At 44.2% G+C, this 15,353-nt stretch overlaps 1 protein-coding gene across 38 annotated transcripts in view, besides 1 other annotated feature; it reads left to right on the top strand.

The window, feature by feature from the left end:
- Positions 1 to 15,353, top strand: part of PFKM (phosphofructokinase, muscle) — a 41,052-nt gene that overhangs the window by 5,174 nt on the left and 20,525 nt on the right. For 13 of the 38 annotated variants that reach the window (NM_001354742.2, NM_001354747.2, XM_047429000.1 and 10 more), the window contains one exon: positions 12,241 to 12,333. In NM_001354742.2, the coding sequence (NP_001341671.1) occupies positions 12,249 to 12,333 (85 nt within the window). In that variant the 5' untranslated portion in view covers positions 12,241 to 12,248. Of the gene's footprint in view, positions 1 to 7,955; positions 8,052 to 8,703; positions 8,937 to 9,292; positions 9,404 to 12,120; positions 12,334 to 14,798; positions 15,037 to 15,353 lie in introns of those variants that run through there. The other 25 variants (NR_148957.2, NR_148954.2, NR_148958.2 and 22 more) reach the window with 9 other exon arrangements.
- Positions 8,434 to 8,503: an enhancer, noted in NCBI's record as "active region_6279". NCBI's record gives its function as "activates an Ori minimal core promoter by ATAC-STARR-seq in GM12878 lymphoblastoid cells {active_cell/tissue: GM12878}" and the evidence as "EXISTENCE:reporter gene assay evidence [ECO:0000049][PMID:35858748]".

Below are 15,353 nucleotides of genomic sequence, written 5' to 3' on the forward strand. Positions count from 1 at the left end.
TGAGGAACTCATGTCGTCAAACAACAGAGATGAGCACAGAGCTACTGGTGCCCAAACATAAAAAACCCCTGGCCTGATGTCTTTCTGCTTCTGCCAGCCCAAGAAATTCACAGGGACTCCCTCCAGGGTGTTCTGCTCCTTGTTCTAAGTGCAGTTGTATATGGAGATTCTGTGCTCTAGTCCTTAAGAAAAATGGAATATATTTCTTTCTTGTCTCTTACCTGGCAGGGAAGCAGCTGCTGTTTTTTCCAACATCTTGCCTATCAGTATAAGCAGCTCTGCCTGTACTATAATGAGGCAGGCTGTGTGTGTGTGTGGCCCATAGAGGATCAGCTCCTGGCATAAGAAAGCCACTTGATCCTACACTGGGGCATAGCAAGGGTGTGAGTCATCTAGGCTGTACACTTTACCCCTATGTCCTGACCCCTAGGCTTTTCAAAGAAAGGTGGTTAGCATTTCAAGATAGGTAAGAGTGTGGGACAACTACTTCCAGGAAAAAAGCTCAGGGGTAGCAGGCACCTTTGTGGTCCAGGCTCTGATCCAGCAGATCCAACTGCCCACTAGACATAAAGCCTCTCCTGTGTATAAAGACTTCGATGATGGGCAACCTGCCTAGGTAACTAGTGACTCTCAAGACTACTTCTAGTGACCTGAAAATGTGGGAAGCATTCCAAAGGAGTGCTGCTTCACCCATTTGCTCCTTGTGTCACAGCTTCTCCCTGGAAGATAAGAGCTTTCTATCATATTTTTCACTTCATCTAGGCCATCTATCACCAGCATTGCCCATGCCCCCTGCTGCCCTTCTGATCCTCTGTACCTTCCTTTGGAAGTAAAGCAGCCTTGAGAAGAGTTTTTATTAAAGAGGCATTAATGATGGAGGACCTTTGCGTAGCGAGGAAACCTTTCTGCCTATGTAACAGCATGGTGGTGCAGGATATGGAAGGCATATTTAGAGTCAGTATAAATATTGATGCGTAGTCCCTTTGCAAGAGTGAGAGCTCAAGTTAAGACAATGAGTTCAGCTTGCTGAGAGGTAGTGGAGCGGGGAAGATCAGTAGCCTCAATGATAGATGTGGAAGATACTATAGCATAGCCTGCCTTTGCTGGTGAGTGGCGATTAGGCCTGGTGGAACTGCCATCAGTAAACCAAGTGTGATCAGGGTGAGGAACAGGAAAGAAGGAAACATGGGCAAATGGAGTGAATATCGGGTGGATCAAAGAGAGACAGTCATGGGGGTCAGGTGTGGTATCCAGAATAATGTGGGAGGCCGGATGGAAGTCTGGGCCAGGAACAATGGTAATTGTGGGATACTCAACAAAGAGTGAGTATAGCTGAAGGAGCCAGGGAGCAGAAAGTATATGCATCAGGTGTAAGGAAGAAAATAGATTTTAGAAGTTATGAGAGCTGTAGAGAGTGAGTTGAGCATAGTTTGTGATTTTGAGGGCCTCTAAAAGTATTAGGGCAGCGGCAGCCGCTGCACAGAGGCATGATGGCTAGGCTAAAACAGTAAGGTCAAGTCATTTGGATAAAAAGGCTACAGGGCGCGGTCCTGGCTTATGTAAGAACTCCGACTGCACGGCCCTGCACTTTGGCTGTGTGTAATGAAAAGGGTTGGGATGAGTTAGGGAGAGCTAGTGTGGGGGCAGCTTCTAGGGCTGTCTTTAAGGAACAGAAAGGAGCGGCGAAAGGATTTAGGATCTGTGGGGTCAGCTAGGTTTGCTTTTGTGAGTTTATATAATGGTTTAGTCAGGATGGTAAAACTAGGTATCCAAAGGTGGAAGTACCTAACCATGCCTAGGAAGGAAAGGAGTTGTTGTTTTGTAGAAGGGATTGGGGTTTAGGAGATTTGCCAGACACGATCAGCAGAACACGTGTGTTTTCATGAAGAATTATGTTGAGATAGGTAATGGATAAGGAAGAAATTTGGGCCTGACTGAAGTAATGGGGGCTGTCCGTGAAGCCTTGTGGCAGTACAGCCCAGGTAATTTGCTGAGCCTGATGGGTGTCAGGGTCAGTCCAAGTGAAAGTGAAGTGAGGCTGGGATGAAGGGTGCAAAGGAATAGTAAAGAAAGCATGTTTGAGATCCACTACAGAATAATGGGTTATGGAGGGGTTGTGGAGGGAGGTATTGAGGTTAGGAGAGTATATGCCTTTGGCACCACGGGGTGGATAAGCAAGACAATTTGGTTGATAAGGCGCAGATCCTGAACTAACCTGTAAGGCTTGTCTGGTTTTTGGATAGGTAAAATGGGGGAATTGTAAGGAGAGTTTATAGGTTTTAAAAGGCCATGCTGTAACAGGTGAGTGATAACAGGCTTTAATCCTTTTAAAGTGTGCTGCGGGATGGGATATTGGCATTGAGTGGGGTAAAGGTGATTAGGTTTTAATGGGAGGGTAAGGGGTGCATGATCAGTCGCCAAGGAGGGAGTAGAGGCATCCTATACCTGTGGTTTAAGGTGAGGAGATACAAGGAGAGGATATGAAGGAGACTTTGAACTGGGAAAAAAGGCAGCAATGAGGTGTGGCTGTAGCCCAGGAACAGTCAGGGAAGCAGATAATTTAGTTAAAATGCCTTGACCTAACAAGGGAACTGGGCAGGTGGGGATAACTAAAAAGGAGTGCTTAAAAGAGTATTGTCCAAGTTGTCACGAGAGTTGGGGAGTTTTAAGGGGTCTAGAAGCCTGGCTGTCAATACCCACAACAGTTATGGAGACAAGGGAAGCTGGCCTTTGAAAAGAAGGTAATGTGGAGTGGGTAGCCTCCGTATTGATTAAGAAGGGGACGGACTTACCCTCCACTGTAAGAGTTACCTAAAGCGTCTGTGATGGTCCAGGAGGCTTCCGAGGCGACTGGGCAGCGTCAGTCTTCAGCCGCTAAGCTGAGAAGATCTGGGAAGGAGTCAGTCAGAGAGCCTTGGGCCAGAGTTCCAGGGGATCTGGGAGTGGCTGCCAGGTGAGTTGGACAGTCCGATTTCCAGTGGGGTCCCGCACAGATGGGACATGGCTTAGGAGGAATCCCGGGCTGCAGGCATTGGTTGGCCCAAGTGGCCAGATTTCCGACACTTGAAGCAAGATCCTGGGGGAGGCGGTCCTGGAGGAACACCTGGCCGCTGGGGTTCAGGCATTGTGAAGTTCTTGTGTGCTGGAGATGTGGCTGGGGTTTCTCTCACAGTGGAGGCAAGTAATTGCAACTCAGAAATACGTTGCCTCTACTCTATTATTGTACACCTTGAAGGCAAGGTTAATTGAGTCCTTTTGTGGGGTTTGAGGACCGGAATCTAATTTTTGAAGATTTTTCTAATGTCAGGAGCTGACTGGGTGGTAAAATGCTTATTAGGAATAAGGTGGCCTTCTGGCCTCTCTGGGTCTAGGGTGGTAAAGCGTCTAAGGGTTGCTGCTAAGCCGGCCATGAACTGGGCTGGGTTCTTTACCTCGGGTAGTTTCTTTAAGTTTGTCATAATTAACAGCTTTGTAAGCTGCCTTTTTAAGCCCTTCAACTTGGCAGGAAACCATGTAGTCTCGCCTAGCTATATCTGGGGAATCGGCCGGATAGTTCCATTGGGGATCGCCTCAGGGAACTGCTCTAATGCCTTCCTGGAGGTGTGGTTCATGAAGCCAGCAGTTATCAGCATGCGATTGGGCTAGAGAAAAAACTTTCCCATTCATCTGGGGAGAGGGTAGAAGTTAGGATGACATTTAGGTCACTCCAGATTAAATTGTAGGACAGAGCTCGATGTCGGAATTCCTGTATATATTTAGTGGGGTCTGATGAGAAAGAGCCTAAACGCTGGCTGATTCGGGAAAGGTCTGATAGAGAAAAAGGCACATGTACCCTGACTATGCCTTCAGCTCCAGCCACCTCTCTAAGAGGAAATTTTTGGGCAGGTGGGGGAGAGCTAGTCCTAGGACGAAACTGTAAACCGGACCGGGTGTGGGGAGGGGAGGTAATAGAAGGGTTATAGGGTTGGGGAGCAAAGGCTGAAGAAGAGTTGGAGCCTGATTCAGCCTGGCGGGGAGCGACCTGAGGAGGAGCAGTCTGGGGAGGAGGTGAGAGGTCAGATGGTTCAGTAGAAAAGGAAGATTCAGAAGACTCAGCAACGCTTGGGGTTGGGACTGAAGGGACAGGCCAGAGGGAAAGAAGGAGGATTTGGGACGAGTTGCATTGGGAACACAGACTAGGGAGGGAACAAAGTGTGAAAAATGCCTGGATGTAAGGCACCTCAGACCATTTGCCCATTTTTTCAACAAAAATTATCTAGGTCTCGTAGGATGGAGAAATCAAAAGTGCCGTTTTCTGGCCATTTAGAACCATTGTCGAGTTTGTATTGGTGCAAAGCGGTGTTGCAGAAGAAAATGAGATGCCTAGATTTTAGGTCAGGTGAGAGTTGAAGAGGTTTTAAGTTCTTGAGAACACAGGCTAAGGCAGAAGAAGGAGGAATGGAGGGTGGAAGGTTGCCCATAGTAAAGGAGGCAAGTTTAAAGAGAAGAGTAGAGTCATGGAGAAGGGGGATGGGGAGCAGCTCTGGGCTGCAATGTGGGTGAGCAGCCAAAGCAGGCATCCCTGCAATTGACTTGCCACCAAGGGAACACGGGTGAATGATCAAGGCAGGCGTCCCTGTGGAGATCAGACACCAATGGAACATGGGTGAATAATCAGAGAGGCATCCCCACGATAATTAAACACCAAGGGAAGGCTGCTGACCCGGGTCTTCGGCACCAAATGTTTCACGTGTCCATGTGAAGAGATCACCAAACAGGCTTTGTGTGAGCAACGAGGCTGTTTATTTCACCTAGGTGCAGGTGGGCTGAGTCCGAAAAAGGAGTCTGCAAAGGGTGGTGGATTATCATTAGTTCTTATAGGTTTTAGGATAGGCGGTGGAGTTAAGAGCAATGTTTTGAGGGAAGGGGGTGGATCTCACAAAGTACGTTCTCAAGGATGGGGAGAATTACAAAGAACCTTCTTAAAGGTGGGGGAGATTACAAAGTACATTGATCAGTTAAGGTGGGGCAGAAACAAATCACAATGGTGGAATGTCGTCAGTTAAGGCTATTTTCACTTTTGTAGATCTTCAGTTGCTTCAGGCCATCTGGATGTATACGTGCAGGTCACTGGGGATATGATGGCTTAGCTTGGGCTCAGAGGCCTGACAGCCTGACCATCTTGGGCACATGTTCTCAGGATCTCCTGAGGGCTGTATCACAGGCCATTGGTCACTCATATTTGGCTCAGAATAAATATCTTCAAATATTTTACAAATTTTGACACTTTTTGTCATATTTATATGACACATTTTATTTATCCATTCTTTAGTTGATGGACTTTGGGCTCTTTCCACATTTTGCCAACATTGTGAATAATGTTGCTATGAACATTGGTATACAGATTTTGTGTGTACATATGTTTTCATTTTTCGTAGGTATATACCTAGGAGTGGAATTGCTAATTAATATGATGACTCTATGTTTAACATTTGAGGAACTGCCAAATTTCCACTGCAGCTGCACCACTTTACATTCCTACCAGCAATGCAGAAGGGTTCCAATTTGTTCACATCCGCTGTAATACTTTTCTTTCTTTTTCCTTTCCCCCCTTCCCTCCCTTCCTTCCTTCCTTCCTCTCTCTCTCCCTCACTCCCTGCCTCCTTCCTTTCTTCCTCTCCCTCTCTCCTTCCCTCCTTCCTTCTTTTCTCCTTCCTTCCTTCCTTCCCTCCCCCTCTCCCTCCTTTCTCTCTCTCCACCCCTCCCTACCTCCTTCCTTCCATCTTCCTTCCTTTCTTTTTTTCTTTTTTGATAATAGCCATCCTAATGGATATGAAGTAGTATTTTCACTTCAAATGAAGTAGTTTTGATTTGCATTGCCCTAATGGCTATTGATGTTGAGCATCTTTTCTTGTACTTTTTAGCCATTATATATCATTTTTAGAGAACTGTCTATTCAAGCCTTTGCTCATTTTTAAATTTTTTATGTTTGAGACAGGATCTCACTCTGTCGCCCAGGGTGGAGTGTGGTGGCGCAATCTCGGCTCACTGCAAGCTCTGCCTCCCAGGCTCAAGTCATTCTTGTGCCTCAACCTCCTGAGTAGCTGGGACTACAGGCATGTGCCACCACACCTGGCTAATTTTTTGTATTTTTGTAGAGACGGGGTTTCACCATGTTGCCCAGTCTGGTCTTAAATTCCGGAGCTCAAACAATCCACCTGCCTTGGCCTCCCAAAGTGCTGGGATTACAGGTGTGAGCCATTGTGCCTGGCCAGTTTTCCCTACTTATTAACATCTTGCATTAGTGTGGTACACTTGTGATAATTGATAACCCAATATTTATACATTATTATTAGCTAAGTTCCATAGTTTACATTAGGGTTTACTCTTTGGATTGTATAGTTCTATGAATTTGACAAATGCATAATGTCATGACAAATGTATGTCATGTATCTGTTATAGCATCATACCGAATCATTTTAGTGCCCCTAAAATCCCCTGTGCTCCACCTATTAATCTCTCCTTCTCTATCCCAAGCCCCAGTAACAACTGATATTTTTATTGTCTCCGTAGTTTTACCTTTTCCAGACTGTCATACAGTTGGAATCATACAGTATGCAGCCTTTTCACACTGGCCCGTTTCACTATGTCTTTTCCTGGCTTGATAATTTTTTATTGATGGAAAATATTCCATTGTATAGCTGTATCACAGTTTGTTTATTCACCTTTTGAGGGACATCTTGGTTGCCTCCAGCTTTTGGCAATTATGAATAAAGCTTTTATAAACATTCATGTGCAGGTTTTTTGTGCAGACATAATTTTCAGCTCATTCAGCTAAATACTTAGGAGTGCTATTGCTGGATCATGTGGTAAGACAATATTTAGCTTTGTAAAAAACTGTCAAACTGTCTTCTACAGTGACTGTACCATTGTGCATTCCCACCAGCAATTAATGAGAGTTCCAGTGGTTCCACATTCTCATTAGCATTTGGATTTTTGAATTTTAATCATTTAATCATTCTAATAGGTGTGTAGTGGTGTCTCACTGTTTTAATTTGCAGTTCGCTAATGACATATGATGTTGACATCTTTTCATGTTTATTTGCCACCTGTATATCTTCTTTGGTCAACTCTTTTGCCCATTTTTAAATTGAGGTATTTTCTTTTTATTGTCACTGAAAAGAGTCAAACTGTAAAACATTTGAAGAGATTTATCCTGAGCCAAATACGAGTGACCAATAGCTCCCCCATGACACAGCCCTCAGGAGATCCTGAGAACATGTGTTCAAGATGGTCGGGCCACAAGTTGGTTTTATAAATTTTAGGGAGATATAAGGTATCAATGAATATATGTAAGATGTACATTCATTTAGTCCAGAAAGGCGGGATAACTGGAAGCAGGGAGGGGGGAGCGGGGCTTCCAGGTCATAGGTAGATTCAAAGATTTTCTGATTGGAAATTGGTGAAAAGAGTTAAGTTATTGTCCAAAGACTTAATAGAAAAGCAATCTGTGAGGACCAAGGTTTTATCAGGTGGACAAAGCTTCCAGGTAGCAGGTTTCAGAGAATAGATTGTAAATGTTTCTTATCAGACTTAAAGAGTCTGTTCTATCAGTAATTCCAAAAGGGAGGAGCATATAATGAAGTGTGTCTGGCTTCCCCTTTCCATCAACGTCTGAACTAGTTTTTCAGATTAACTTTGGAATACCCTTGACTGAGAGGAGGGGTCTATTCAGATGGTTGAGGGGCTTATAATTTTATTTTTGGTTTACATTCTTAATGAGTTGCAAATGAGTTCTTTATTTATTCTGGATGCCAGCCCCTTATCAGATACATGATTTGCAAATATTTTCTCCCATTCTGTGGGTTGTCTTTCCACTTTCTTGATGGTATAATTTGGAGAACAAATGCTTTTATTTTGTGTAGTCAAATGGGGTTTTATCTCCTAGTCACTTGCATTTGTATTGTTTGTGCCAGAATGTGCAGAGGTAGAGATACAAGTAAGCAAGAGGAAGAGGGCAGTGGTAAAAGCAAGAGGAGACCCGACTGTGGAGACAATGAAGCAAAGGGAAGGTGAGACTTGAGTAATGGATGCACCTCTTGCTCTGGGAGCATCTGACCCTTTTTCCAGAGTGGATCCTGTTTGCTGTGAAGCCCAATTTATATGTTTGCTTCACTGCCAGAATCCCGCCCCCATCCCTCCCCACTGCAGGCTTGAGAAGTGGCCTCACAGACACGCCCTTCCCTCTTGACACTTTCATTCCAAATAGCTAGCTTTTCTGTACTTTCTCTGAGAAAGGTAATGTAAATGTAAAAGAAGTTTTTGAGGCTATTCTATAGAAGATGTCATAATTCAATGTTCCTCAAAGGCAGGGACTATATTTATTTTTTTTAAACCTCTCGGCACCTAATGCAAAATCTAGCACACAGACTCCCAAGAAATGTTTGCTTAAAGACGGATAGAGGGCCACAGGGGCAGGTTTTATTAGCAGTTGCTGAAGATGTTGGAATGCAAGGTGTCTCAGGCAGTCTGGACTAGGAAAAAGTTCTGTGTTGAAAACAAGAGAAGCAACGAAATAATTTATTATTCCCATTAAATAAAGATGCTGATGGCTCTCGAGATAGATATGAGGACCCCAGGACTCTGGGGAGTGAAGGAACTAAGCCGCTGCCATATCTGAGCTGAGTACTTAGGGGGAGGAGGAAGAGGAGGAGAAAGGCAAGCAGGAGGAGGCGGAGCCTTCTTGTCAGCATCTGTTAGTGGAGGTTGGGAAGCCTCTCCTCCTTCCCCCTCCCTCTTTGCCTCCACCTGGCTCCTCCCCATGTTCGTCCATCACCCCTCCCCCCTTTCCCAAGGACAATCTGCAAGAAAGCAGCGGCGGAGGAGAGCTAAGACTAAAAGGCAAGAGGGGCCATTGAGTGAAGAGCAAGGGGGAGAGCTGGGAGTGAGGTGGGAAGGTATGGGCCGGGAGCAGGCGGTAGGGAGAACTGAAAGGAGCAGAAAGGAAAAGAAGAGATACGGCATCCTAAGCTGGAGCCGAGAGGGGGATGGGCAGGGCAGTCGTGAAGGATCCTAGCCCCTTGGCCAGTCCCCTCCGCTTGCAGGCTCAGCTGCATTCCCCAGGAATCTGGGATGGGTGGGTGGGGCTCGGACGGGTTGCCCTTGGCTGCCTGACCCTACCCTGGCACTCACCCAATTCAAATCAGTGCTCCTATGATGCTGCTTTTCTGTTCCTCCCTGCCGCGTGCTTATATACGCACGTGATTTTAGAGATATGTTTTAATATCTGTCTGTTTTTGTCTACGTGCGTGTCATTGTGGGTCTGTAAGGGATGCTTATACATGAGTCTGCATGAATTTCTGTGTCCTGTGCCTCTATAACTGTCTTAGAGATTTCAGGAGAAGAATATGAGCGGTTTTTACAGGTCAGCACTCTTAAACTCCTCTTGTTATGGCGAATTTTCTCCCTCACTGACGCTTCCAGGGGTGGAAGAGCTCTGTGTGGGATTCTGCCCCCGTCATGAGCTCCAAGAGTGAATGAGAAGAAAAAACGGGAGGAAAGGGATCAGCATACCCAGATGTCTTGTTTTTTCCTTTCCACCTTTTTGCCTTCCTATTTGCCCTAGTCACTTAATCTTTCTTTTTGGAAAACAGCAGAAATTTGGACATGAACATTCCAGTTAAATAAGAGCGTCTCTAGTCACGCGTGTCTCTATGTTCCTTTCACTGTTTGTCACTATATGATTTCTCAAGTCCAAGTTAAAAGTGTGTTTTAAAGTAGAATATGGAGGTATATCTGTATCTAAGCCGATTTTACATTTTTCATATATTTGTATTTCATGTAGTTCATCAGTTCATTAACGTTTTCAACAAGTATTTATTGGGGTCCTGTAATGTGCATAGACTTTGCAAGTCTTTAGTGAGCTGTGGGAGAGTTTTTAAAAATGATCATGATCCCTGCCCTGGAGGAGTTCTCAGTCTAGTTAGGAAAAATGACTTTAGCAGCCATCCAGTCCAGTGGTTGGCAAACTTCGTCTGTAAAAGACCAGATAGTAAATATTTTAAACTGCAGGCTTATGAGTCTCTGTCACAATATCCATTCTGCTGTTGTAGCACAAAAACATCCATGATAATACGTGAATGAACGAAGGTAGTGCACATACTGAAATTTGAACTTAACATTTTTCACATGTCATGAAGTACTTTTTGCAACCACTAAAAAATATAAAAACCTTTCACAGCTTACTGCCATACAAAAATGTGAGAAGGGCTGGATTTGGCCTACAGGCTGTTGTATGCTGACCCCTGATCTAGTCCAACCCTCTTATCAGTGCGTACGAAACTATTAAAATGCCACATAAAGCAGGCCGAGCATGGTGGTTTATGCCTGTTATCCCAGCACTTTGGGAGGCAAGGTGGGCGGATCACCTGAAGTCAGGAGTTCAAGACCAGCTTGACCGACATGGTGAAAACCCGTCTCAATTAAAAATACAAAAATTAGCCGGGTGTGGTGGTGCATGTCTGTAATCCCAGCTACTCGGGAGGCTGAGGCAGGAGAATCACTTGAACCTGGGAGGCAGTGATCCAGTTTAGACAACATGTGGTTAGAGGAAGTCCAAAAGAAGGTTTCCTTGACCTGTGGTAATCAGTGAAGGTTTAATAAGGGTACAACTATCACTGGTCTTAAATGATGGAATGGGATGTGAATCTGTGGAAAGGGCCAGGGTAGCCACCTGGACAAGGGATGCAGTGTGCCCAGGCACTAAAGTGGGAAGAGCAAAGTAATGTTCAGGTGACAATGGAGCAGAGAATCTATAGGACCAACAGTTGAAGCTATATGCAAGGGCTAAATTGTAGAAGCTTCGAATGCCAACCCAACAAGTTGGGACCTTATTTGTTAGTACTGATTATATGTAGTACGTTCATTAATCTCTGTCTGTTAACACAATGCATGTTTGTGAATGTATGTCTTCATATATGTCTCATTGCATTATTTTATTATTTGTGTGGATTTGGGTGTTTATGTGACTTATGTCTCTATAGGCAGCTACCCTGAGTTCTCCAAATGCAGGGTAGAAGCAAGCACAAGCTGCCCGTAAAACTTGGGTTCCTGTGAATGAATACACATCTCCACTGAAGCCTAGGGACCTATGACCTTCCTATGAAGGTTTATTTTGTGTGTCTAATAGAGTGAAGAAAGGAACACAAGCACAGGGAAACCAGCTATTGTAGTAAGCAGTTCAGGTGGAAAATGGCAATGAGGATAGAAAGGAGGGGATGGATAAAGGAAGATAATAAGAAGGGAGAATAATAGGATTTAGTTACTGTTTTGAATCTGAGAGGAAGGGAGGAGATAAATTTAAAATAACAGGTTTTAGCCTGAAAAACTGGGAGAGTGATAATTCTACTGGCATTTTATGGATACAAAAATACGTCCTCTTGTGTGTTCCTTTGAGAGAGGTGATCCCTAAAGAATAAAATATGAAGGTGTTCCCATGTCGTATGTACACATCTGTGTATATACGGCAGTGACTTTGTGTTAATTTTCTCATTTCATAGCATGTAGTAATGTGAGGGGCAAGACCCAAAGACCAAGGATCAAGAGATGCTCAGGAGGCTGACATCCTGAGAGGGAAGAGCCATAGAAAGCCCCTGACCATTCTTGAGACTGACACCATTAATTTGCCTAACTCTGATGTGCCTTTATAGCCTCAGACTCCAGTTTCAACTCCATATCACCTAACCCCATTCCAATAGCACAATTCCATAACACCCAACCCTAATCTTAATTATAATCCAACCTACCCTTGCTCTTCTACTTCTACTTTGCTGATTGTCATCAGTGCCCTAAACCTCATCTGATTCCAGCCCTCTGCAATAACCTATCCCTTCATTGAAAAGGGAGGGATCGTTGAGGCTAACTCAACTTTTTCTCCTCCCTTTCTCATTTCTATTCAGTCAACTTCTCTTTTCCCTGACCTTAGTTTATTCCCCAAATAGGTTCCAATTGGGGTGGGAGGGATCAGGGAGGAATTAGGACCTTAGTAGTCTTGGGCTTGATTACATGACATTTCAGCTTGTCAGTCTACAAGGGTGTGGCTTTCCTCTGGAAGAAGTCCAAAGCTCTCAGGCTGCAAAGCTCAGACTTGGTATAGTGGGAGAGCCTGACTGAGGTGGCTCTAGCCAGTCTAATTGCCGTTCCTTTAGCTAGTGGCATCTTGATTCCTGCTGTGTCTTAACTGACCATTGTCTTAAATTCTAGAGTGGATCATGACCCATGAAGAGCACCATGCAGCCAAAACCCTGGGGATTGGCAAAGCCATTGCTGTCTTAACCTCTGGTGGAGATGCCCAAGGTAAGGAGGAGGGGACAAAAAACATGGCTGGTGGGACTTTTGGAATTTACTGACTCCCTTAGCCTATACAATAGAATTATTCTTCTGTAGGTTCACGGGAATTTTGGGCTTTGCTAAAAATTTCTGTGAGGCCTAAGTCCTCAAGTGCATTTGAATTTTATTTGCCATGCGTTTATTTACCCACATCTTCATAAAACTTATTTCCAAGTTTCTTTGAAGACAGGGGGCTCTTTTGGTCTTTGGGAACCTAAAAGAGTGGTGTTTTCTCAAGCAGCATTGGAAAGAAACTAAAGAGATAAAGTTATTGAGAAGGCAGTAAGTGGATTAACTTCATGTACTTTGGTAATGGTGGGGATGGGAGGAGACCCAGAATTAGTATATGGTGGGTCCCAACTAGGTCTTCAGGTATTAACTCTGATGTCTGGAGAGTTCCTGCACTGACCAAGGTCAGTCAGGCACTCGGTTTTCTCTGGCCTTTCCTCCTCTTCCCTTTCATCACCCCTTGAACAAATAGGAACAGCAGCAGTTAATCAATACAGATCCGGTATGAGGTGGAGGGGCAGAAAACAGAGCCAGCAAAAACCCTTTTCTAGGTTGAATTTAAGAAACCTGGGAGTCACGAAAATTAGGTATATAGGAAACACGGAGTGGGAGTAAGAGGGTATTGATTTTTTTAAAAAAAACTTTTTCTCCTTTGATCTTCTGATATATTCTGATACATTGAAAAGAGGTAGAATTTCTTTGAAAAGGATACATGACATGGAGACAATTAGAAAGAGAGAAGGAAAGCGATTTCAGCTAGGCTCCCCTCCTCTGCACCACTGTTCCTAGGCTTTTTTAGACTTTGCGCTAAGGACCCACTTTGTATAGAGCCCTGTCTTGTATGTTTTGAAGAAGTTGAATTCCTTTAGGAATTTATAGTTTAATGAGGAAACTAGAATTCTTACATAAGGCACATAAATAAAAATAAGCAAGTGTGCATTAACCAAGTGGAATCTACTTACATAATGAAATGATAGCCTCTGATTGAATTAATCAGTGAAAACTTCATGGAGAAGGTAGATTTCAAGACACTGAACTCTTTATTTAAGTAAGGTGCTTAGAACAGTAGCAGGCACATCGTAAATACTCAATACATGTGATCATTAATTAAAAATGAATTAGTGAGTATCTACTGTGTCAATCAGGATGATGATGAGGTTCACCAGTGATACATCAGTGAAAAAGTCTGACGCAATCTTTGTTCTTATGATACTTATTAGTATATTAGTAAAGCTAGACTTTTTAAACTAATATTTATTATAATTGTGATATAGGTTATGAATCAGAAAGTGCTAGAATGAAGAAACTGAGGAAGGAGGGTACGGAGGTCTGAGTTTAGGAATAGTGACCAGATTAGGAATGCAGAGCCCTAGTTGAGTTTGCAGAAACCACAGATCTGGCTTTTATTGCATCTGTCTTCTCTGCTGGCAGAGTACCATGCCAATACTGAATTCTTTAACATGTACTTGAGCATTGATCCTGAAACCTTGGTAGAATGATCTGTGGACCCAGATTGTCAGATTAGGGGAAGAAAGAAGAAAGCCTGCTAAACAAACCAAGTGAGATGCACAGAGTTATAAAATGAAGAAGAGCTTTTTAGAGAGGGAAAGAGAGAAAGAAAGGTCAGACTAGGATTTAACTTGGGTCTCAGAGCAGCAGAGCCCTTCCACCTTCTGATCCTGAGCAGTGAGACCCTCTTATTCTAGTGAAGACCATAACTCACTGCTGTAAGAAAAAGACCCTGTTTTATGGAGGCAGGGACTATAGATAAGCTGATTTCTGAAGGACCCAGCTGATAGGCACAGTGTAGCCAGGGAAATAGCCCACCTGCAAATCCCCATAACATCACAGCCACATGTCACTAGGGATTGAGAGTGATAGAAACTGAAATTCTATGGAGGCAAGGAGGCAAAACAGAAAACTCAAAATAGAGCTGAGAGGTCCTAGCTGAAGGAGAAGCTCAAATTCAGAAGTCGCCTGCCCAGAGCTGAGTTTGATGGACTCTAGTTCTCCCGGGGAGAAAACATAGAAATGTTTTGTTTTGTTTTTTTTCCCTTAGGGCTTGTGGGCCACATGGGAAAGTGAGATTGAGCTGTGTAAAATCCATAGAGGTCACAGCTTTGTCATTCTCCAAATTCAGCAAAGCTAATCATCTCTTGAGGTAGAAAAATGGCCAGGAATCAGACATCCTGAGCTCAAAAACAAAGAACTCTGGGATGCTGGGCTGATGCCGTACCAAATCCTAATTCCCTTTCCAGCCTAGGAATGGCTTCAGCCGCCAAAACTATGCTACCTTTAGCCTTATGACATCGGCATATTCTACCCCTGGAAAGGACCTCAGTCAGTCATCTGCTCTGGCCCTCTGTCTCCAGATAGCCAGCCATTACAAATGTATGTTTATCTTTTTGATTTTTTTTTTTAAGAGATGGGACGGGATCGGCCAGGTGCAGTGGCTCACACCTGTAATCCCAGGACTTTGGGAGGCCGAGGCGGGCAGATCACCCGAGGTTGGGAGTTCGAGACCAGCCTGACCAACATGGAGAAACCCCGTCTCTACTAAAAATACAAAATTAGCTGGGCGTGGTGGTGCATGCCTGTAATCCCAGCCACTTGGGAGGCTGAGGCAGGAGAATCGCTTGAACCCGGGAGGCAGAGGTTGCGGTGAGTCGAGATCACACCATTGCACTCCAGCCTGGGCAACAAGAGTGAAACTCTGTCTCAAAAAAAAAAAAAAAAAAAGATGGGAAGGGATCTTTTTATGTTGCCCAGGCTGGTCTTGAACTCCTGGCTCAAGCAATCCTCTTGCCTCAGCCTCTCAAGTAGCTGAGACCACAGGCCATGTGCCACCACACCTGGCCTTTTCTATTTTTAAAGGTTCGCACGAACAGAGATCCTTTTACCTCTCTGGCTTGCTATTCTAAGGTTTATAATTTTTACTTATGATATCCATTAGGAAGTGCAATTCATCTCTAACAAAT

The sequence above is a fragment of the Homo sapiens genome, chromosome 12 (genome assembly GCF_000001405.40).
Source record: "Homo sapiens chromosome 12, GRCh38.p14 Primary Assembly".
In the NCBI taxonomy this organism is placed as follows: domain Eukaryota; kingdom Metazoa; phylum Chordata; class Mammalia; order Primates; family Hominidae; genus Homo; species Homo sapiens.